Genomic DNA, 24,143 nt, shown 5'->3' with positions numbered 1-24,143 from the left:
GGCCAGGCCCCTCTCCCTGCCCTGCCCGGCAGGAGCCTCCCGGACACACACACCTGCGGCCCGAGCACTCCCGGGAACAAAGCCCTGGCCTTACCAGCAAGGTGAGCAGATGAAACGGTGGCCCCACAGCCCGGGGAAGCCTCCAATTCCAAGATCCTCGTGGAACATCACGGCACCTCGGTGGGGGGTGCGGAGGGACAGGAGCCTGCGAAAACGCTGATAAGTGAATTCAAAGCACCTGCTCCTTTTTGCTTATCTCCTCAAACAATATGAACTCAGAGTTATCACATTTAAAGTGCTCTGTATTTGCCTTACATTTAGCTCTTAAAACCAAGTGTAGTGTGCTACAACTTTAAAGGACACAAGAGTCAAACTGGAAAATAATTTTATGGCATCAGGGATTCAGCTCCGAGCTCAGTCCCTCAGGAGGAGATGAGACTGAGTCAGCCTCCCGGGCTCCCCGGACCACCCTGGACACCAAGGCAGAAAACCGCCCACTTCCCCACGCCCTCCACCTACCCCAGGTCTCAGGGCCAAGAAATCAGTGGAGACAGGTCACACCACCAGCCCCAGCTCAGGTCTAGAACAGGGCCTTCCACCCAGCCTGCTGGGGTGGGCACAGGTGTGTGAAGACACTGAGACCCTCAGCCCGGGTACAGCTGGAGCTCCTGCCACCCCAGCTGCTGACCATTTGCCTCATCTTTAACTTTAGCACTCGCAGTGCCTTGCAAAATGTTGGAAAATAGTCATACAGATCTGAACTAATACATTAGCTGCTAGCCATCCTGCAAGTGCACACGTGGCTGGTGGCTACCATGCGGGATAGCACAGAACAGCCGGATTACATTCCCATCATCCTAGAAAGTTCTATCGGACAGCTCTGGTCTAGATGCTCCGGACCACTCCTAGAATTAGAACAGGCATCCCCTGAAGCCCCCAGGCCTCCCCACAGGAGAAAGGACGGTGCTGGCCATGCAGGCAAAGGAACCAAAACTTGAGTCACACTTGCTGGGGAAAGGCAGAAATTGCAGAGCAGCAGGCTAATTGCTTTGTGCTCTGTACCAGCACACCTGCATACTAATGCATCTGCGTTCCCGCAGGCGGTCTCTCAGAGCCAGACTTTGAAGGCCCAGGATGTAAGGGGCCTTGAGCACCCGGGCTATCACCCTCCCTTGAGGCTGCGCTTTCACCTTGGAGAGCCAGAACCTTGGGAAAGTAAGTGATGCTAAACCTGAAAATGCATCCAGAGCCTGAGCTTCCAGGAGTTCCAGCCAAGATTAAGAGCAACTGCAGCGGGGGCAGCAGTTTTTGATGAGACCCAAGTCTAGAGAACCCTATGGAAGAAAAGAGGAGGTCAACAGAAACCACCTAGAGACTGGGTCACCTGCCAAAAGAGCCCCTTGCTAAGCCTCCCCCAGTGCCTGTCACACAGTAGGAGGTCAAGAAATACCTGAAGGAATGGACTTGAACAGCATTCTCACACCGCACTAACCCCCGTCTGCGATGCTGCTTTTACTTAGAAACAGCGGCTTCAGAATGGGAAAGTCCTTAGCAGCCATGAACTGACCCTCAGATCACTAATAAGGACCCCGAGGGAAGTGACTTCCTCAAGGTCAGACCCCAGCAGACTTGATTTCTAGTCCACGATTCTCTCCATGACTCCAGCCTTCAATCACACGTGTCCTCTACTCAAACATCACACAAGCCAAAGCCAGCACTAGCAATGTGTTCTTAAGTCCCTCTTAGAACCTGGTAGCACGGGAGGGGCAGATCGCAGAAAAGAGAAGCGGCCAGCTGCCGGTGCCAGGAACCTGCCTGCCCAGCACACATGGAGCTCATTTCCAACCCAGTCGTAGAGAGGCAGATGTGGGGGAGGGGTGAGCAGGAGTCTTCATGTGTTACCGTCCGGATGCCTATTGAGATCCTTATATTCTTTTTCTACCCGATCAGTGATGTGCAGCTGTTGCTTTTTTTTTTTTCCACGTTCTTTAAAATTTTCTTTCCTGAGAACATGGTGTCCTTGACCTCAACAAATGAACTCCAAGAACCCGGAACCAGGGGAAATAAATGGAGTAAACTTCTCAGGAATATAAATGCAGTTGAGGCAACGATCCTATTGGCAGACCCCACATGATGGGCAAGAAAGGCACCGTAAAGGAAATCTATAGATCTACGAGAAAAACAAAAGTTAGATAAGGTGCACTCAGGCTGCATTTACAACCTTCCTCCCATCCACACACGAGGAGCGGATAATGAGGACTTCATCGATAGAACTGTTGGACAAATTGAATCCACACGAATCAGCAGGGTGATGTGCAGCCTGGACTTGAGAGAATTAGTTAATGAACTTACCAAATTTCTGGCAATTATTTTTTAAATGTTATGAAGAAAGAGAAAAGAAAGTAAAAGAAGTAAACTTAAAAGGAGAATGGTTCTCTTCATGAAGGCAAGCTTTATTTAATTTCTAGTACAATGCCCCGATACACATGCACATACATACATTTATTATTATTTTTTGAGATAGGGTCTCACTCTGTTGCCCAGGCTGGAGTGCAGTGGCACAATCATGCTCACTGTAGCCCTGACCTCCTGGGCTCAAGTGATCCTCCCACCTCAGCCTCCTGAGTAGCTGGGACTACAGGTGCACACCATCAATTAGCTCAAACCTGGCTAATTTTTTTCTATTTTTTGTAGAGAGGGGGGTCTCACTTTGTTGCCCAGGCTGATCTCGAGGTCGAACTCCTGGACTCAAGTGATCCTCCCACCTTAGCCTCCCAAAAGTGTTGAGATTACAGGCATGAGCTGCTGTGCCCAGCCACATACATAAAAATTAAAAACACAGGAGGCCGAGGCAGGCGGATCACCTGAGGTCAGGAGTTCAAGGACAGCCTGGCCAACGTGGTAAAACCCCATCTCTACTAAAAATACAAAATTAGTCAGGCGTGGTGGCGCATGCCTGTAATTCCATCTACTCGGGAGGCTGAGGCACGAGAATCACTTGAACCTGGGAAGTGGAGGTTGCAGTGAGCCAAGATCACGCCACTGCAGCCTGGGCAACAGAGTGAGACTCTGACTCAAAACAATAACAACAACAAAAAAGTAAAAACACAAACTGAGGTGCAGGAAACAAAGTTCATTCATTTTAGGCCAGGCTCACTGTTGTGTCTGTGTTTATTAAACACGGGCAACAGAACAGCAAGGATAGAAAGTGGCACGGTTCTGATGTCACCAGAGGGGCAGGCAGTGGCCCAGGCATAAAACACCCATGCTTTTGCACCCAGCCTTGGGCCCTTCCCTGACACCCTTCACCTCCACCCACCTGCACAGTTGTGCTGAGGCACGCACCTACCTCATTTGTGCGTCTGGATCCGGGGAGACGTGGATCTTGGCATTAACACATTCCATGTACAGAGTGACTGCTTCATTCCTGGGGAATGGTACAAACCTTTATGACCAACATCATATTTGGATTCATTCTAAGCCTCAAACTCTGCTCTCTTTGGATTAAATGGTAAGACTGAGAGAGGCAGTCACGTTGGAGGGGTTTTAGCAATGCATGTGGAGAGCAGGAAATCAACTTCTAAAAAGGAAACTGCATCCCTAAGCTGGCAATGCAGAGTCAGTTGCTGGAGTGAGCGGGGGGGCTGGCTTTCCCGTGTCTTCTCACACGCCCAGGGGTTCCAAATGATGTTCAATAGGGAGCCCTAGCCAGCATTCCTGGAGAGAAATGGCTGCACACCAAAAGTCTAGAGGACAAGGAAAACCTGCCTGGGAGACCCCAGGGTGAAGGCTCCGAAAGTAGCAAGAGCATGAAAACAAGAGGGGCACGTGGAGAGCAGATTATATGCGATCCAGCAGCCAGGAAAAAATACGGGCGCCTGGGAGGGAGACGATGGTGTCACTTTCTGTTTATCCACCATCTTTCATTGGAGCATCATTTCAAAGCACATTATAGGAAGCAGCTCTTTAATCCTCCCAGAGGAGCATGATGATTTGAAGGGGTCCCTGGGGAGCAAGAAATAAATCCCAGGATCAAATTCCAGGGCTAGTGTCCTCCTGGCTCCTCCACGCCCTGTGTTACAGATGGCCTGGCCTAGGCAAGTGGGGGTGGACGAGGGCCCTGACGCCACCACGATGTTCCAAGAGCCCTAAAAACACACAGACTCTTTCACTTGATTCCTTTTACTCCTAAAGATATACACCAAGGAAAACAAAAGTCTCAAAAACCACAATAAACAAGCTTGATGCACAAATATTCTCCTCTACTATTATCCTGTATATTAAGAGCAAAAACCTAGAAACAATGTAAATGTCCCCAAACAGGGGATTTGGTGAAATATTGATACGGGCCCCAAATGGAATGACTAGTTAGTAATGAAAGTGTGACATCTGCGAAAACATGGAAATCATCTGACTGAGCTATTAAAATGCAGATCACTGTGCACCATGCTTCTCAGCTGGCATACATGTGTGCAGGGGGGTGGCAGACATGGCTGCATGAGGATTTTGTTTTTAAGGATAAGTAAAAAATATCAAACAGTCTAGAAGTAAAAACCAAGTCTTCCCCTGCAAACTGCTCCCTGGCTCCTCCCCTGCTGAGAATCACCAGGGCTATTCTGTATGATTGTTTCTAGACACAGAAGAGGACCCCAAATTACTAAAGATGACAAGTGGGGCCGGGTGTGGTGGCGCACGCCTGTAATCCCAGCACTTTGGGAGGCCGAGGTGGGCAGATCACTTGAGTTCAGGAGTTCGAGACCAGCCTGGGCAACATGGCAAAACCCCGTCCATACAAAAAACACAAAAACTAGCCAGCATGGTGGTGCGTGCCTGTGGCCCCAGCTACTCAGGAGGCTGAGGTGGAAGGATTACCTGAGCCCAGGAGGTCAAAGCTGCAGTGAGGCGAGATTGCACCACTGCACTCCAGCCTGGGTGACAGAGCAAGAACCTGTCTCAAAAATAAATAAGACAAAAAGCCAGCCTTAGCATTTCCTCTACCCTGAAGGGAGGCCCTCTGCCCTCTTTCCCAGATCTCTGGTGCACACCTGGGCAGGGTGGAGCTGTGGCTGCAGCCACGTTTCAGCGTGACCAGCTCACCGCCTTGCCGTACTGGTGAGATCTTTAAGGTCTATGGTTTATGAGTGTCTCGTGTGAAGCAGTCAGCTGGGCAAAAATAAAATAAACGCAAACTCCACACAAAAGAGAGGAATGCTTCAGTCAACACTGAAAAAGGGCTCTGGATTGAAACTCTTGATAACTGTTCTCAACTCATTTGAAAGTCAGCATTAGCTACCAAAATGTAAAGTATTAGTTTTATTAAAATGCAAATCAATCAACTAATCTTTCTAGTAACAGTTGAATTGCAGTATCCGTGTCAATTAAAATAGTTTCCAATTTATTCTTGGCTGGAAGGAGGGTGACCTTCTGAATTTTAAATGCAAAGCCTCCCTTCAGTGAAAGTTCTGTCAGTTCCTTCTTTCTCAGCTCTCATTTTTAACTCATTTTAATTAAACTTGCTGGACTCCAAATATTTTGAAGGGCATGTTTAAATCTTTTTCTTCATCAGAGTAACGATGACAAAGGTTCTGTTTAGGAAACTCGGGTTGGCGTCAGGCTCATAGAAACCTCAGTACTAAGAGGTCATTTCCTTGCCGTCCTACCAAGCATCATCCAGAACCCTCACGGCTAGATGGACAACGTTGGATGTTCTGTATTTTAAAAGGGGATCATTTTGAAAGCAGTGAATGTGCGGGAACTCTCCTATTTCGGTTGAGTTTTTTGGTAACTGGAGACACATTGAAAAGTAAACATTTCCCTGACAGTCAAGCCAAAGAGGTGATTGTAGAGACAAGAAAAGCCACTGCATACCAAGGTCCAATTAATATGAGATGGAAAAACCCTCCTCCCTCCTATCTGCCCCATCCTGAGCTCAGCAGTTTCATTTATGTTAAAACTCAACTGTGATGCAGATGACGTCAGGCCTCGCTTCTTCTGCAGTCCAGCCGAAGGCACTGTGCGGCTGTCCCTGACACCAAGGCAATGATATAGAGGATTCCTGGGGACAAAAATCTGTCCCTTGGTTTTGACATTTCAAAGCAATATCAAAACTCAACTTTGAAAGCAAGTAGTTAGGGCCAGGCGCAGTGGCTTACGCCTGTAATCCCAGCACTTTGGGAGGCTGAGGCCAGCAGATCACTTGAGGTCAGGAGTTCGAGACTAGCCTGGCCAACATGGTAAAACCCCATCTCTACTAAAAATACAAAAATTAGCCAGGCATGGTGGCACGAGCCTATAATCCCAGCTACTTGGAAGACTAAGGCATGAGAGACTCGCTTGAACCCGGGAGGTGGAAGTTACAGTGAGCCAGGATTGTACCACTGCACTCCAGCTTGGGTGACAGAGCAAAACTCTGTCTCAAAAAACAAACAAACAAGTAGTTATAGTAACTACAACTCAACTCAGTTGCCTGGATCCAAAATGCCTTCTCTAATCCCATAGCTCTAAATAAAGAGCTGGGCAAAGGACCTATGAGATGCTCAGGCCAGCATGCTGGCCACCCATATGCGCACATTACTTATGCAAGATAATCTTCACTGCATATTGACCACAGCAAGCCAATAAATTCCCCTTATGGGGATTTAATTTCCAGCTTTTGACCTTTGGATGAAAAACAAGTGAATTGTCTCCTGCCAGATTTACACCAGAGCTAATATCAATAGTGATTTAGGAATGGTGAGCATGGAAAAGGACTCTGGAAGAATCTTTATAGGTGAAAAGAGGAGACAAAAAAAGTCAAACAACCGTGTATTTGTGACAACAGGCAAATGCCTCCAAATTACAAAGTCCCCTAGGTTTTTGGGGGAGTCTCTGCTCCTCAGAGCTGTGATAAACCACTAAACATTATCCACTCAGCAGCATCCTGGCCAGGTGTGGTGGCACACACCTGTAGTCCCAGCTACCTGAGAGGCTGAGGTGGGAGGGGATTGCTTGAGCCTGGGAGGTAGAGGCTGCAGCGAGCTATGATCACAGATCACACCACTGCACTCGAGCCTGGGAGACAGAGCAAGACCCTGTCTCTCACATACACACAAAAGAAAACCCTTTTAAATTTATTTTTTTAAACTGCTCCTTGCAGAGCAGGGGTACCCCCACAGGCAGAGTGTGCCCAGAGTAGCTGAAACCTTTTTTTAAAAAAATTAAAAGAAAGAAGCATCCTATCCCAGCATCATTCCTTTTAAGTGTTTTTTGTTTGTTTGTTTGTTTTTTTCCAGAAGGAGTCTCACTCTGTCACCCAGGCTGGAGTGCAGTGGCGTGATCTTGGCTCACGGCAACCTCCACCTCCCGGGTTGAAGCGATTCTCCTGCCTTAGCCTCCCAAGTAGCTGGGATTACAGGCACATGCCACTACACCCGGCTGATTTTTGTATTTTTAGTGGAGACTGGGTTTCACCATGTTGGCCAGGCTGGTCTCAACCTCAAGTGATCCACCCACCTCGGCCTCCCAAAGTGCTGGGATTACAGGCATGAGCAGAAGCGCCTGGTCTTAAGTGTTTTTAAAATTAATAGTTTAAATTGACAAACATAATTGTATCCACCTATAAGGTATAATGTGATGTCTTGATAGTGTATATACAACGTAGAACGATTAAATCAAGCCTGTCCATGTATCCATCACCTCACTTATCATTTTTTATGGTGAAACATTTGAAATTTACTGAGTTACTCTGAAAAATACATTATTGACTATAGTCACCCTGCTGTATAACAGATCTCAAAACTTCCTCCTCTGGCTGGGAACGGTGGGTCAAGCCTGTAATCCCAGCACTTTGGGAGACCGAGGTGGGCGGATCACTTGAGGTCAGGAGTTCGAAGCTAGCCTGGGCAATATGGTGAAACCCCATCTCTACTAAAAAAAAAAAAAAAAATCAGCTGGGCGTGTTGGCAGGGGCCTGTAATCCCAGCTACTTGGGAGGCTGAGTCAGAAGAACTGCTTGAATCTGGGAGGCGGAGGTTGCAGTGAGCCAAGATTGTGCCACTGCACTCCATCTCTAAATAAATAAATAAATAAATAAATACATACATAAACAAATACTTCCTCTGACGTGAAACTGTAGTCTTTGACCAACATGTCGCATTCCCTGCTCCCCCACCCCCCTCAGCCTCCGGTAACCACCATTCTACTCTTTAGTTCCATGAGTTGGCCTTTTGTAGATTCCACGTATAATTGAGATCAGGGGGTCTCTGTCCTTCTGTGCTTGAGTCATTTCACTCGGCATAATGTCTTCCAGTTCAACCACATTGTCGCGAGTGTCAGAATTTCCTTCTTTCTAAGGCTGAATACCCCTTATCCATGTAAGAAACCCAAAAGCAAGAAAACAAATAACCCATTTCAAAAATGGGCAAAGAATCTGAACAGATATTTCTCAAAAGAAGACATACAAATGGCCAACAGGCTTATTAAAAAATTATCAGCCCCACTAATCATTAGGGAAATGCACAGAAAAACCACAACGAGGCCGGGCGTGGTGGCTCATGCCTGTATTCCCAGCATTTTGGGAGTACGAGGTGGGCAGATCACAAGGTCAGCAGTTCAAGACCAGCCTGGCCAATATGGTGAAACCCCGTCTCTACTAAAAATACAAAAATTAGCTGGGCATGGTGGCGAGCACCTGTAATCCCAGCTACTCAGGAGGCTGAGGCAGGAGAATTGCTTGAACCTGGGAGGTGGAGGTTGCAGTGAGCCGAGATTGTGCCGCTACACTGCAGCTCGGGAGACAGAGCAAGACTCAGTCTCAAAAAAAAAAAAAAAAAAAAAAAAAGATAAAAGAAAAAAAAAACCACAATGAGACATCACCTCAGACCTGTTATAATGGCTACTATCAAAAAGATGAACCCCTAAAATGTATACAACTATTATATGGCAATAAAAACTTTTTTTAAAAAAGATGAAAGTTAACAAGTGTTGGTAAAGACGCGGAAAAGGGAGCTCTGGCACGCTGCCGGGGTGAACGTGGACTGGTACAGCCATTATGGAAAACTGTAAGGAGTTACTAAAAAAACTAAAAATTCAACTATCCTACGATCAAGCAATCCCATTTCTGGGTATATATACAGATCAACGGACATTACTGTGTTGAAGGGACACCTGCACTCCCACGTTCATTTCACCCACAACAGCCACGCTATGCAAACAATCTACATGTCCGCCAGGGTGAGTGGGTCAAGGAAACGTCAAGTCTGACATTGTATGAGGAGGCCACTGGACTAGAAAAAAAAAAGCTCAGTAAATGTGTCATCCACTAGAACCAAACCAGACTGACTCTCAGCCTCTTAAGAAATCACAAGCGGTGGTGGCGGTAACAATGCTCTTTATTTGTGGCGTTTAAAGGCGGGGTTGGGCGGGACAGCGCCCTTGCGTGTATTAGGCACAGGTTCGGAACGCAGCATCTTTCCAGGGGCTTCCCTACTAGCTCAGCCCCATAAAGTCACTGGTTTCCTCCATCTGGACCAGCAGCCGCACCAGCCAAGGCGCCCACTGGGTGTCGGAGGTGGGCGATGTCAATCCCCGTGGCCTTCGTCGGGAGGGTGGAGCTGGCCAAAAAGAGAGCGGTACAGTTCTGTCCTAAAAGACAAACACAGCAAACTGGTTAACACACTGGTTCACTATTCAAGGTTAAAAAGGAACGCAGAAGCTGGAAAATACCCCATTCTGTTTCTTCTGTTGAAAACACAGCCATGTAATTAAAAATGCACCCCACAGCTCTTACTCACAAATACAACAGAAGGAAGAAACCCAATCAAACAGTAAAATATGTAAATGGTCCAGTGCGGCTGGACACCCGTCTCCAGGGAATGAGTGTTCTGTAAGTTTGCCCTTTGCAGACAGGCTCTTCAAGTAAGAAAACAAGATTGAATATTTTAATAGGATGTAGGAGACCGCCATCCGATGAGGAGGATTCAATCAGACATGGGATGTAGGGGGATATAATTTAGTTTTCATACATTTTCTTGGACTTGGCAGTACTTGAAAAACAATGAAAATGAGCCAGCAACACGATTCCAATTACTATCATCTGTGCAGTTGTTCAGGAAGAGAACCAAGCTTCTTCCACACTCCCCAGCTGCCCTGTCTCTATTCTCAGTCTAATAAATAATATGATTGGCTAATTTATTTCTAAAGTTGGGTTTTGACATTAAAACAATAACATGCCAGGGTCTTGGGCCCCTAAAAAGAAAAGTAAATGACCACTTTCAAACTCTTTTAAATGCAACATACACACAAACATCGGCCAAAGCCATGTGTCAAGGCCTGGAAAACCTAAAAGGGGTGTGGGTGGGGCAGGGATCTTTCCTATCGTTGAGACAGAAGCTCCAGAACACTTTCCCCTGTGGATACAGAGCAGATCCTCCCTGCAGAGACATGAGGGACCCATGAGGTTCCAAGCAGGCAAGACCCGTGTGAGGACGTCCCTGTCATCAGGGAGGTGGGCGTGTAGCACGTGGCCGCAGAGGCAGCCATCCATGTCCACGCCCTGCAGAAGGCCCAGCCGGTAGCCCTCACAGAGACAGGGCAGGCGCACACAGGGCTGAGGTCATGGGCCAGGAGCCCCAGAAGAAATCTACACCTGCTCGGATATTCTCAAGATGGAACTCAAATTCCAGCCTGCCGTCTTGTTTTAAAAGTGCTCTCATCATCTGAGGGTCAGCATCGGCACATCAGACTTTAAAAGCAAAACCAAAAAACCCCACCTTTCAAACAGCAAGGCTTCAACACAAAAAACTACTGGTCTTTTTTTGAAGTCACCCTACTATAGTTATGGATAGGAATAAAGGTACTACAATTAGGAAATCCAACAAAAGGAATAGAGTATCAAAGCTTTAAAAAAGTCAAAAGAAAAACATCTTAAGGAAGAACTACAGAAGCCACAAATGTAAGCTAGCCTTATCATGTTGGGGACCGCGGGAGGGACAGGCAGTGAAAGTGCAGGCCAGAAAACAACAGGCCTCCAATTTTATTACAGGAATTTTATCCCAAGAATGTGCTGGTGCCTTCACCCTGAACTACCCAGCAGACCCCTAGGCCACAGACAAAGGACACAGCTTCCCCCTTGGCTCCACCCATCTCTTCTGCTCTTCTGTTACACACATCCATGTGACTAGCCTCAATCAGCCCAGACGAAGCCTGCCAAGGTGGACGGCAGCCCCAGACCAAATGCAAACCCACGGCTTCCAAATCAGCAGCTCCGTCACACGGATACTTCGGTGCCCAGGGCAGGCTCCACTTCATCACACCATGGCCTGCCTATTTGCCAGTAAAGACAAGTCTCTCTAGCTGTTTCCACACAAAAAATTAAATGGCGTGAAAGGGAGAGTTGCCATAACAAAAGGACAGTGTGACTTTAGGACAACAACGTCTGATGAGAAAGAAATGCAGAGGCGCGAGGCTAGCCCTTCACATCATACCCTTTCCAGCCTCGCCGCGCTTGCCTGCACCAGACCCCATCATTACCACTGAGCAAATGCTTCCACTCTGCGCGCAATATCAGTGCAACGCCTGGGCCGAAGGCAGCAGTTACTGTCCGCAGCAGGGTTCACGTGTCAGGAGCAGAGAGTGAAATGCTGAAACCCATGTTTTCATAGAACATCATTTCACACTCAGGTGGGCAAAGCTGACAAACATATGCAGCTGTTCATGGCAAAGCAACCTGGGAAGCTGAGTGGTCTGGGTTCTTAAAATATTTTCAGAGAGAGAGAATATCAATAGGGGATTATTTCAATCTAAAAGTCCCCAAGCAATTTCAACTTTTACATCTTCCTCACCCACTATCACCAGCTGGTGACCGTTTTTACCTTCAAAGCATCTCAAACTTCACAGCTCCTCCAGGCTTCCACTAGGTCAGATCTCACCGTTTCTCATGAAGCACACAGCAACAACCTCCTGGCTGACTCTTCCACTCCCTTCTCTGAGACAGACAAAGCAGACCCTCCCTGGGGCCCAGGAGCAGCATGGGGATGAAGATCCCCGCCCCACACGCCCCCCACCAGCCACCCCCACTGTAGATTCCAGCGGTTCAGCTTGGCCTCAGCCCTTCCTCTTTCCAGGTCCTGGCTTTGGCTCCTGCCCTGAGCAGCTGGGTGGTACAGGGAGGCACAGCCCTTCCTCCCTCTTTACTAGGTTGGAGAAGGTAGGGTTGCACATTTTTATAACGTTTTTCACAGTAAGTTTAAATAGTTACAAAATATATAATGACCAGGATGTTGTGAAAATTAACTTTTGTAATGCCTGCAATGGAACCTACATGCCATAATGATTTGATACTCATCGTTCATTCAAGTAACACATAAACTATTTTTTTTTGAGATGGAGTCTCGCTCTGTCGCCAGGCTGGAGTGCAGTGGCGCAATCTCGGCTCACTGCAACCTCCGCCTCCCGGGTTCAATCGATTCTCCTGCCTCAGCCTTCCAAGTAATTGGGACTGCAGGTGCGCACCACCACGCCCGGCTAATTTTTTATTTTTAGTAGAGACGGGGTTTTACCATGTTGGCCAGGATGGTCTCCATCTCTTGACCTCATGATCTGCCCGTCTTGGCCTCCCAAAGTGCTGGGATTACAGGCGTGGGCCACACATAAACTTTTTAACTTGGACATTTTATAGCACCTTTTTCTTTTTAAATTTTATTTCCACCTGACTTTTCCCTACAGAGTTTTGTCCTAATATAATGGTTTCATGCTTGAATGTCTTTTATCAATCACCCTTATCATACTTCTTGGCCACATTAGTCTGTAAATAAAAGCACTTTTGAAATTTTTAAAATTCAAAAAATTGAAATGAAAATATTTTAATTGTTTGACATTATAAGGCTCTAAGTAGTTTAAAAATGTTCCTCTGGATTATTATTAGGATATAATCAATATATAATAATATGATATAATATATCCTAATTTTAGTGAAAATTTAGTATTCATACATGTGTAAAATGTTATTAGAAATGCATCCCTTAATGATATGGATGAGGCTTTTCCCTCCATTTGTTCATGGATCCATGGAGGAATATTATTTATTGCCAGAATGAAGGAGGGTTCAGCATCAATTCTACTCCTATTTTTTTGTTTTTTGTAGACATAAGCACTGAGAAATGTTGTCATATAAACAAGCAGATAGGAATGACAGAGTTCTGGCATAGCAATGCCACTTGATTCTTTTTGCTCTTTCTGAATTATACAGCACACACAAAAAATCGCACAGTGACTCGTCCCCAAACATTAGTCCTAACGGTCAACCAACTGCCAACTCAATTCAACTCGTGTTCTCCAGCGATTCTGCTGGAAGTGAAGACCCAGAAACCACCCGGCCTGCACAGGGCTTGTCCTCTAGTCCTTAGGCGTTTGCTTTCTCAATCTCTGTACCCATATTTCCAGCTGTCCTTGGGTTTGAGGCCCTGGAGGTTTTCCTGTGGCAGCCCGAGGTCCATGTCACTTTAAGGAGGGGCTCGAGGGAGGCTTTTCAAGGCCAGAGAAGGACGAGGGTAAAAGGACAACCTAGCCCTCCAGCACAGGCCTGCTCTGGGGCAGACAGCTTTAGGAAAGAGCGTACGTCTGAAGACTGACTCCTTGACTATCTGTGTCTACCTTCCCCTTGGAAAGTCTCTGCATACCCCAGTGTGAAGACTGAGCCACAGGGTGCACTGAGCTCTTCCTCCCTCAAACCTAGGCAGGTGTCTAGGTGCTTAGGGAAAGGCAAAGACATCTGAAAAGAAACAAAACATGTCCACAGCCCTTACCCCATCCCAAGAAAAACTGCAAGTAAAGACGAGGCTACAAAAAGGTGCCACTGGACAGAGGGCCAGACCGCCTTCCACTGCATAAACATTTCCCCCCGGCTGCATCTTCCTAACTGGGATTTAGCCATGTGGAGAAGCTAAACTATCAATCCTCCAGGTTAACCTTGTTCCATCAGATTCTCCAGGGTAAGTGTGTAGTTTCATACCTGAGGTCCCCTTAAGGCTATGCATAATCAACTTTTTAAAAAAACACATAATTCCTGCTCCCCATCACATTAAGAATCAAGATGCAAATCACTGATCTGTAATACCCCCACCCCCCAGCACACACACACTCATGGTCAGTGGGAGTGTCCACTGTAGACAATGCGTTCATGCTGGTATCATGCAGGGGAGCAGCCTGCGGAGTAATTAACAGGACTTGGACCTGAGGTAGAAGGTCGATAGCAGGGGCTCTTCCTTGAATTAAAATTTAACTTACCCTTTATTGCAAACTACAAAAGCAAGTAATGAGCACTAACATTTTTATTTCTTTTAAACTGTCATTAAGCTGTAGAGGGGATAATTACCTATCTCTAGTGCAGTAAGGTTTTATAACCCTTAGTGAGGCATTTTCTAATTTAATATTTTTACTATATTATCTTAAAACCTGTTTCTAGAAAAAAAAATGATCATGGATTAGCCGCCATTTTCCATAAAGACAGAATGTGCGTGTGTGTGTGTGTGTGTGTGTGTGTGTGTGTCTGTCTGTCTGTCTGTCTGTCTTAGGATTCGGCTTATTTATTATGTGATTCTTCTGAAGAGACTTAAAGTATGCACATTGTAGCTAGCTGTGAACTGCAATCACTTGAGTGGCAGGTAAGGTTTTAAAAGCTCTGAGTGAAATGGGGGTGTATGTGTATGAGAATGCAGCCCCTCACCGATGTGTGGACCCAAATATGTTCCTTTCAGTTCCACATGTGCACTCACCCCACCACAATACAGATCACTGTCTTTCACGATGTCACTTGGGCAAACAGTACAAAGGAGCATATTAAACCTGCAAATAATCTGTGTGGGGCTTTCAATTTGCTAGGTCAGTAGCTTGCAGCACTGGGGATTCTGAAGGAATTGTACCATCCACTCTACAGAAAACCACACTCCTCCTACACTGGCCCTGGAACCCCCAGGCCTCCAAGACATCCCTGAGCTGTACCTACCCACAAAGACAGGTGGACAGCAGAGAGAACACAGCCATTCCACTGCTCCCCGAAAAAGCCTGTGCAGCCTCCCAAAGCGCATCATGGTCTCCGAGCAAGTATTATGTGCCAGTCTTCCAAAGGAGCTGGCGGAGACAATGCTGCTGCTTTCCAGACGAAAAGTGACTCATAGGCCAGGTATGGTGGCTCATGTAATCCCAGCACTTTGGGAGGTTGAGGTGGGAAGACCACTTGAGCCCAGGAGTTTGAGACCAGCCTGAGCAACACAGTGAGACCCTGTCTCTATTAAAAATAAATAAATACATAAAATGATACACATAATTTGCCTTTGACTAATTAAAAATTGTTCATTTGTTGCTTCTTAGGAGTGGGGGGTCTCCCTAAATACATAAGACACATCCCAGAATGTCATGGCCCTTCCTTCCTTTCTAATCCTCTACCTCTCCCACACTGCACACAAAAGTGCTGTAGCATTTGCTTCTGCCTTAACTCAATCCCATACATACATTGCAGAATCAAGGGAAAAGAAGAAAGCACACGGCAGGCAAGTCGGACAAAGGGTTCCAATCATAGCAGCACTCACGGCTAGCAGGGTCTGGATCCGATCTGAAACCCTACAAGTAGAGTCTGCCCAGATATGGTCAGTCAGCACAGAGATTCACACACACGCCTGCTCTGCACAGACCAGCGCGGTCACCAATGACAGATGTGTGCTTTTAAAATTATTGGTGATGTACTGATGCTGCCTTTTTTCACGTTTGTCTTTGAAAACAATTTGCTTAGTGTGGTGGAAGCTTAAACATGTACTAGATGTATATGATTCCTGGCCTCAAAACCTAACATACTACAGGTATAATCAATTAATTAAAAATATTTGAATGCTTATTTGAACTTTGTTAGATTTTGTGGAGGTTCACAAAGACATGAAAGGCACAGCAGAAGCTAGATCGGGAAGGTGAATACATGCAGTAAGTGTGTCTCAGACAAACCACTCCATTTGGGGAGACACACAAACATTCTTCCTCCTGCTGAACCCAATTCTGTCATTTTAGGACTTACAGCCATGGGCTCTTGTCCCTCTAAAGCCAGAGAGAAGTAAGGCTGACTACTATTCCCTGTGGCAGCACTTCAACTATTTGATGTCTTCTTCTAACTAAATCTGTTCTTTTCCGGGTTCAGCGGCCTCAGTTGCCTCCATTCCTCCTGTGACCGAGTCTGCTTGCCATCCTGACTGCACTCCTATGAGCCCTCCATTTGCCAAAGCTCCAAAAGCAAGGTCTCCAGAACCCGCAGCCCTCGTGAGCCCAAAGCAGGTGGAGCAGGACTCCATCTCTCCTGCACTCTGAACACATACTTCTCTCTCTGTCTTCCCAAGGCCTCCACTCTCTTCTGTTCTATCTATCAGTATGCCCAGGGCCTCCCAAATGTCTGCGGAAAAAGATGTCTTGCCAATTATCACTTGGCACATGCTAACGGCACCAAACAAAGGGATCCTTCTCCAATAAAGCACGTGCCTCCATTCTGATTGCCAGAAACCAAAGTAGGCCAAAGGGCAAAGGCTACTCACTCCTCCATTTTCCTCTTAAAAATGTCTACAGACCACAGGACAGCAGCTTTCCCTTTTTTTTTTTTTTTTTGAGACGGAGTCTCGCTCTGTCACCCAGGCTGGAGTGCAGTGGCGCCATCTCGGCTTGCTGCAAGCTCCGCCTCCCAGGTTCACGCCATTCTCCTGCCTCAGCTTCCCGAGTACCTGGGACTACAGGTGCCCGCCACCACGCCTGGCTAACTTTTTTTTGTATTTTTAGTACACACAGGGTTTCACTGTGTTAGCCAGGATGGTCTCGATCTCCTGACCTCGTGATCTGCCCGCCTCGGCCTCCCAAAGTGCTGGGATTACAGGCGTGAGCCACCGCGCCCGGCTTGGACAGCAGCTTTCTTTTCTTATATACTTAGAGAAACCAGCTTAATAGAAATCTTGAATAGTTAAATAGAACAAGGCGAATGCTTTTATATGGCATAGAGCATGGTATCACAAATGCAGAGGGGCTGGAAGGTGCTGTCAGAGTTGGTTCTGACTGGCTCAGGTCCTTACTGGGTCTAGGACCTTAGGTAAATTACTTAGCCCCCTGAATCTTAGCTTCCTCATCAGTAAGATGGTGACAATATCTTCCTTAAACATACTGTTTTTACAGCACTAAGCAAAGTCCGCATTGCATAAATGGCATCGTCATCTATGATCATGAGAAATGGAATGAGACAGAGCAACATGCTGAGGACCTGTGTGCATGCATTACAGTTGCTCCCAACCAACACGAGGGACTAAATGGCACCCTCCTTTCATCATTCCTTTGCTTTCCCCGACCCAAATTCATCCTACTCGGTATCAGTGACTTTACAAATGAGAGAAAGATATTTGAGAAGTGTCTCTATGACCTAAAAGGAGAAACATACTGATCCAAATGGCAGGCAATCGCCCTGTGCTCTTTGGGGCTGTGTGGTAGGGGCAGCCCTATGTATGTCACGGGAATGGGCTCAGACACAGGTGACATGCATTAGAACTTAGCTCCTCAAGGCTGGGCGCAGTGGCTCACACCTGTAATCCCAGAACTTTGGGAGGCCAAGGTGGGCGGATCACCTGAGGTTAGGGGTTTGAGACCAGCATGGCCAACATGGAGAAACCTCGTCTCTACTAAAAATACAAAAAATAGCTGGGCGTGGTGGTGTGTGCCTGTAATCCCAGGTACTTGGGAGGCTGAGCCGGGAAAATCACTTGAACCTGGGAGGCGGAGGTTGCAGTGAGCCGAGATTGTGCCATTGCACTCCAGCCTGGGCAAAAGAGTGAGACTCCATCTAAAAAAAAAAAAAAAAAAAAAAAAAAGAAAAGAAAAACTTAGCTCCCCAAGAAGGCTGGATTGCTGGGAAAGTAATCCAAGTAAAAAGACACAGTGCTGATAAGGAGTTAGTATTTAGTCAGAATGACACAAAAATCACTATAGTAGAAAACTTAGGATTTCTGAATACGGCCAAAAAGTCGGTACTTACTCTCCCTCACTCTCCTCTTAACATCCCCCAACAACCCAAGGAGGATCACAGGCTTCTCTCCTGAAATCTCATCATAATTCCATACCAAAAAACAAACCAAAACTGAACAACAACAAAAACCCCCATAAAAAAACCACAAAGCAGAAGAAAGGAGGTAAAGGGGAAAGAAAGCAGTCTTCTTTCAGCTAAGACTTATTTCTTAACAGGATCAACTTAGCAAAATAAGAATGACTCAGAGACACCCCTTATCTATCACTAATTACCTAAATCTAGATACAAGGCAAATCATGTCCAATCCGACACTAGCTGAAACTCTTCACAAGGTTCCAAAACAACAAAACCGCAGCCGCCCGAATCTGCCACAAGGTGGCAGTACACGACTCGTTTCCAAGTGGACCCAGCCACCAGTCAGCGGAGCCCATAAATTACCCCGTGTGTCTGCTCTCATCACCATCCTCCCCAGTGCTTGAAGGAGACTCTAGAAGGTCTGTTCCAATTCGTTCTTTTGGTCAGGTCAGAACTAGGTCCTTCAAACCTCTGGAAAAGCTTTTAGCCCTACAGCTCTAAATTACACATGGTGACACACGGCCTCTGGCCTGTCCCCTAAAGATCAGACAGACTCAAGATTTATAAATGTTCCAAGAAGCAGGTTCAGGCCCCAAACAAAGGAACTGAGAGGCTGGGGAACAGGGAGGAGAGGGGAGAGGGATGGGGGCGAGAAGGGGACTGCACGTGGACAGGTTTTCTTCTCACTTGTGCTTCCTCCTTACTCAAGCCAGTCACAAATCCCCTGCACTTTAACAAAGGAAGAAAAATACTCAAAACTTCCACCATCCCTACTACTAGCTTCAAATCTTCCACATGATTTTAAAGAAAAATAATTTACCTTAGCGGACTTGCAAAAAAGCAGAGGGGTGGGGGAGGAGCCACTCTTCAGACAAAAGGGGCGCCGCTCCTTCCACGCATTAATATTCCATATTCCCGGGATGATGTCCACTTTCACAGTTTGACTGTTTTATAACAGATTTGATGTGAGAGAAGACAAATGGCCTCACAAAGGAAAGACGACAAATCATCACACTGCTTTTAGCAGGGTTTCTCTTTATTTTTATTTATTTTTATTCCGGACCTGGGATGCAGAGCTCTCTGCCTTGCTGGAGATGTTTAATATTAACGTCAAGCCACCACGGTCCCCGCAATAGAGTTGGCCAGTGTTGTGTTTACGGTTTTGTGACTGCTGGCTTCAGGAAGATGAAGCTCCTTGTTCAAACAGCAGCCCCTCTAACAGCTCCTGTTAAAAGCTAGGGGATGCTTCACTGCTTAGACGTGAATCACTTCCCCCAGCCGCACAGAAGGTGAGACTGACATTCCAGTTACATTTGTATCCGTATCAGGATGCTGCCCAACAACCCAGGGCGTGTGTGCATGCGTGTGTGTGTGTGTGTGTGTGTGTGTGTGTGTGTGTGTGTTGGGGGAGCACAGGATGCATCGCTCAGCTCTAGCTTAACTTCAACACGCAGGAATTAGTGAGGGTATTCAATGTCAACCCATAGAGTTTTGGCAAGGCACTCTGCTATTACTTCTGGTAATAAGTTGGAGGATTTCTTTTGCTTAGAAATCGGGTACCAATCAAAACGCACAAGAAGTAACTAGTAAGTGAGCAAATGCAAAGTGCCAGCTCTGCAATGCGAGTCAGGGGACACAGAGGAACCGCTGGGGCCTGGGGAGCAAGCCCTTCCAGCTGCTGGCCAGCTGCCCTACCCGGAAGTCTCCCCCCGAGCGTTCAAGGAGCATGTGTTCTCCTGGCTCTCCTCTGCCTTCCTTCTCCCAGGTTCTGCTCTTGGCTTCCTCTCTTCTTTTGACACCCTCCCCTGGTGATCCTACACACACTCTAATGGTCTAATGGTCTCCTCCGCGTGAAGGACCCCAGAGCCCGAGTCCCCGCTCCCCTGCCCTCCCCCTAAACTCATCTCCTGCCTTGCAAGGCTCTTCTGACACCCAAGCTACCATTTCTCCTAACAATGGCAGCAAATTCTTTTTTATTCACATCCCACACAACTGTTTAATGGCAGTGAGCTGTAAGACAAAATTACAGATATCGATACCACATTTTCTGATGAAAAAATAAAATCCAGTCTGAGATGGGGCTCTTGTTCAGACTGTATGCCTATTAATTGATTAAAAAAAAAAGGCTGCTCTCAATCTGTCCATAATTTTTTGGTTTTTAATAGTATCCTTCAAAGAACTTCCTTCCTGCCTCTGCAAATCAGAAATTCAGCAAAAGGAGCATCTGTCCTAAACACCTGCCAGGTGAGCTTTCCCCAGCAGCACTGAGCAGGCCTGCAACAGGGGGCCTGCAACAGGGCATCTCTCCCACTCGTTTCACCAGCTAGTCTCTGAGGTCAGCAGTTTGATTACCTCAGCCAGTTATACGATTGGCTCTAAAAAGCCTGACTGCTAAGTGCAAAGTGAGCAGTTTGCATTTCTTCCCCTGAACCTGAAGAGTCTGTCTGGCTGTACAGTTGTGTTTCCCCCTGTAGGACCGAGCTGTGGAAGAGAAGGCAGAGTGCTGCCAAGTGTGTGTATGAGAAAATGTGTATTGATTTCTTCTTTCTTATAGGGGAGGACAAAGCATTGAAGAACAATTGCTCGTCTTTGCAGCATTTCACATTCCATACAAGAGACAAAAGGCCCAACCCCCACTACCCTCTGAGAAGCAGAAAGGGGAACGGAACAGGACTGTGTCTCCTGGGTGTCGGCAGCCACGAGTGCTGCTGCAGGTCAGCTACTGAGACTCCAAACACCCTGGGGCCCATGGCTGCTCACCTGTCTCTCATCAAGTAATTTCCCTTCTGGGCTGATGTTTCCTCATCTATATTGTAGAAGAAAGGCCTTCAGTCTTATTTACCACGTAAGTGGAGGTGCCCAGGGGGTCAAAGAATTAATGTTTATAAAGTGTTCTGCTCCCCAGGGAGACAGTGGTAAAGCATAGGGTGTGGTTATGGCTCATTCAGGACCTCATTTCTGAGGGTGGCTGGTGAGAGCTTCCCATGACCAGGTGCTGCCAGCAACTTGAACTCCAAGTCTAACGAGGTAAGGTCCTCGATCTAAATATCCTTTCTTAGCTTGACACTTAATACCAACACTAAAAATAACAAAGCAGCCAGGCCTTTATGCTTTGTTAATGCACTTACAGAATCCATTCCAGAACTGTTTTCTTCTTAAAGAAAAATCCTGAAAGCAGAGTCCAGAACACTGACCGAAAGCTATAAATCACTACAGAGCCCTGCTGGGGTTCTTCATGCTCCATAGTAACTGCATGGTGAGTATCTCTAACTCAAGTATCTGAAATCTGAAATGCTCCGAAATCTAAAACTTTTTGAGCACCGACACGAACTATGCTGTAAGAAAATGCTCACTGGAGCACTTCAGATTTCAGATTTTCAGATTAGGCATGCTCAACGGGGATAATACAAATATTTCCAAATCCAAGAAAATCTGAAATACGAAATTCCTCTGGACGCAAGAATTCGATAGGTGACACTTGACCTGTAATAATTTATAGGAAGGCCATCAGAACCAAACCTGGTTTAAATAGCACAGAAAACCTATAGTATATAGTATATAGCAGGAGAAACCTATAGTATATAGTATATAGCAGGAGAAAACCTATAGTGTATACAAAGTTTAGGGTCTTGGAAGTGATGGACATGTAAGAGTGTTCTTGAGAGAGCCTTTCCCAGGGTTCAATCCTAAGTAAAAATGACCCCAAAAACCCTCTAAGCAAAGGGTGGGGAATCAGAAGTCCCAGAGGAGAACCTTTCATTCTGGGTCTTTTCCAACATTGCCATGAGCTAAGAACAAAATAAGGAGCCGGCCCTCAAGCGGTGCAATGGTTTAGCATGGAGACCTAACCTATGAATAATTAGGAAACAACCTGGTGGTAGATGCTATACATAATATGGATCTATACAAAGTGACATGGAAGCAGAGGAAAGTATATTAAAGAAGTGAGATGATTTGGAGAGATTTCAGCAAAAGAGGCAAGAAACTCATCTTCATCTTATAGGACAGTTGCAAAAATAATCTTGTAAACAGCAAACTGTAAACAAACATACAAGCTGGGGGCCTTTAAAAGCATCTCAGACAGGAAGCCTCTACCCAACTTTTTTTGGGGTTTGCACAGAAATGGCTATGTCTGTATTGCATGCTGAGGGACAGTGGCGTAATACACAGATGTGAAAACACAAAGTTTGTTTATTTAAATAATTATCTGTTAGGGGTTACATTTAAAATAGTCCTTCTCAGAAATTAAAAAATTAAAAAGAACATTTTATTCTCAAGAATCCAGTGAACAAGAGGCCTGTTTTCACTATGTAAAAGAAAGAAACCATGGCCCATAAAGAAGGCTTCCCAGGGTGGCACTGCATACGAGCGAGGGCATAAGGTGCTCAGGAATACTGAGTCAGCGCTGAGCTCAGAGGAGGCCGACAATAACTGGAAAAAGACCTTAAGTGAAGTGTTTTGCAAATACTACAATTGAAATTAAAATATATTATTCCAAATATATGAACATAAAATCTCGATAATACCAAATACAAGATTACAGTACACACAGGCATACTTCTTTGACTTTTAAGTTAACATACTTAGCAAGAAAAAAGCCCCCAATAAGTGTGTCTGTGAACTGTTATACAGTTAACAGTTTAACTGTTTGGGAGGAACAAACAGAATGGGTTCAAAGAAGAAAGCTCAGTGGGGGTGGAGAATCTGAAGTCTCCCTAGAAAGGCTGGTGACCTCATGACTGAATATTTCAACAGGAAACAACAGTGAGACGGGGGTGGGAGATGCTGCAGGCTATGAGCAGAATGAACAGACATGCAGAATAGGGAGTGTGTCCCAGGGATTGCAGGTGTCTGCTCTGGACAGCACATGGGGTGAAATAGGCGATAAGGAGAGAAAAGTAGCAAGGCAACAAGTCATCGATGGCCTTGACTGGCAGGCTTGAGAGTCTGGGTTTTATGCTAGAGGCAAAGAGTAGCATGTGATATTGGAGGAAGGTGAATCTGGCAATGAAACAGAACTGATGAGAATACAGACTATTGGTTAATATGCCGTTAGTGTAATAGTCGATGTGGGAATTAAAAAAAAAAAAATTTGCCAGGCGCGGTGGCTCACACCTGTAATCCCAGCACTTTGGGAGGCCGAGGTGGGCAGATCATGAGGTCAAGAGATCGAGACCATCCTGGCTAACACAGTGAAACCCCATCTCTACTAAAAATACAAAAAATTAGCCAGGCGTGGTAGTGGGTGCCTGTAGTTCCAGCTACTCGGGAAGCTGAGGCAGAAGAATGGCGTGAACCCGGGAGGAGGAGCTTGCAATGAGCCGAGATGGTACCACTGCACTCCAGCCTGGGTGACAGAGCAAGACTCCGTCTCAAAAAGAAAAAAAAAAAAAAAAGAAAGAAAAAATTAAAAGGCCAGGTGCAGTGGTGGCTCATGTCTGTAATCCTAGCACTTTGGGAGGCCAAGGTGGGAGGACTGCTTGAGTCCAGGAGTTCAAGACCAGCTGGGGCAACACAGCAAGACCCCGTCTCTACAGGAAAAAAAAAAAAAAAAAGCTGGGTGTGGTAGTGTGTGCCTGTAGTCCCAGCTACTTGGGAGGCTGCAGCAGGAGAATCACTAGAGCACAGGAGTTCGAGGCTGCAGTGAGCTATAATTGGGCTACTGTACTCCAGCCTGGGCAACAGAGTAAAACCTTGTCTTTTGTTAAAAAAAGAAAAAAACAAAAAAAAAGACCTGGACTCAAAAAAAGAGGCAGTAGAAATAAAAAGTGAAGATCATTGAATAATATATTAAAATAATGCTCCCAAGTAGATTAAAAGAAAAAAAATTCAGATGAAATTAAATAAAATATAGGTGAATAATTGTTCTGGGATACAGGAGAGATTGCCTAATCATAAAACAATGAAAAACACCCCCCACAAAAAGGTTCTTATATATTTAATCAGGTTAAAAAGTAAAACTTCTATGTAACCAATAAAAATCATTAATATTGACAGGTAAGCAAAATATGGAAATCTACAAAAACCAGGAAATGTTATATAACCATAAATATAG

The 24,143-nt window shown here is 45.9% G+C and overlaps 1 protein-coding gene and 1 long non-coding RNA gene across 3 annotated transcripts in view, besides 4 other annotated features; one reads left to right on the top strand and one right to left on the bottom strand.

Annotated features, from left to right (window-relative positions):
* Positions 66-620: an enhancer, noted in NCBI's record as "H3K27ac-H3K4me1 hESC enhancer chr17:35422902-35423456 (GRCh37/hg19 assembly coordinates)". NCBI's record gives its function as "activates a minimal SCP1, AML or CMV promoter by ChIP-STARR-seq in naive H9 embryonic stem cells {active_cell/tissue: H9 hESC(naive)}" and the evidence as "EXISTENCE:reporter gene assay evidence [ECO:0000049][PMID:30033119]".
* Positions 1,176-1,731: an enhancer, noted in NCBI's record as "H3K27ac-H3K4me1 hESC enhancer chr17:35421791-35422346 (GRCh37/hg19 assembly coordinates)". NCBI's record gives its function as "activates a minimal SCP1, AML or CMV promoter by ChIP-STARR-seq in naive H9 embryonic stem cells {active_cell/tissue: H9 hESC(naive)}" and the evidence as "EXISTENCE:reporter gene assay evidence [ECO:0000049][PMID:30033119]".
* Positions 9,351-24,143, bottom strand: part of AATF (apoptosis antagonizing transcription factor) — a 107,918-nt gene continuing 93,125 nt past the window's right edge. For both annotated transcript variants that reach the window (NM_012138.4, NM_001411094.1), the window contains one exon: positions 9,351-9,621. In NM_012138.4, coding sequence (NP_036270.1) covers positions 9,558-9,621 — 64 coding nt within the window. In that variant the 3' untranslated portion in view covers positions 9,351-9,557. The remainder of the gene's footprint in view (positions 9,622-24,143) is intronic.
* LOC105371753 (uncharacterized) lies at positions 13,060-21,005 on the top strand. Its single transcript, XR_934717.4, has 3 exons — positions 13,060-13,967; positions 20,254-20,332; positions 20,643-21,005. It is a non-coding gene; the product is annotated as an uncharacterized LOC105371753 (long non-coding RNA).
* Positions 17,624-18,124: an enhancer, noted in NCBI's record as "H3K27ac hESC enhancer chr17:35405396-35405896 (GRCh37/hg19 assembly coordinates)". NCBI's record gives its function as "activates a minimal SCP1, AML or CMV promoter by ChIP-STARR-seq in naive H9 embryonic stem cells {active_cell/tissue: H9 hESC(naive)}" and the evidence as "EXISTENCE:reporter gene assay evidence [ECO:0000049][PMID:30033119]".
* Positions 22,904-23,104: a silencer, noted in NCBI's record as "peak2828 fragment used in MPRA reporter construct". NCBI's record gives its function as "represses an SCP1 promoter by STARR-seq MPRAs in K562 erythroleukemia cells {active_cell/tissue: K562}" and the evidence as "EXISTENCE:reporter gene assay evidence [ECO:0000049][PMID:32103011]".

Source organism: Homo sapiens, chromosome 17, assembly GCF_000001405.40.
Source record: "Homo sapiens chromosome 17, GRCh38.p14 Primary Assembly".
In the NCBI taxonomy this organism is placed as follows: domain Eukaryota; kingdom Metazoa; phylum Chordata; class Mammalia; order Primates; family Hominidae; genus Homo; species Homo sapiens.
The sequence above is the reverse complement of the archived record's forward strand: the minus strand, read 5'-3'. Positions and strand labels throughout refer to the sequence as shown.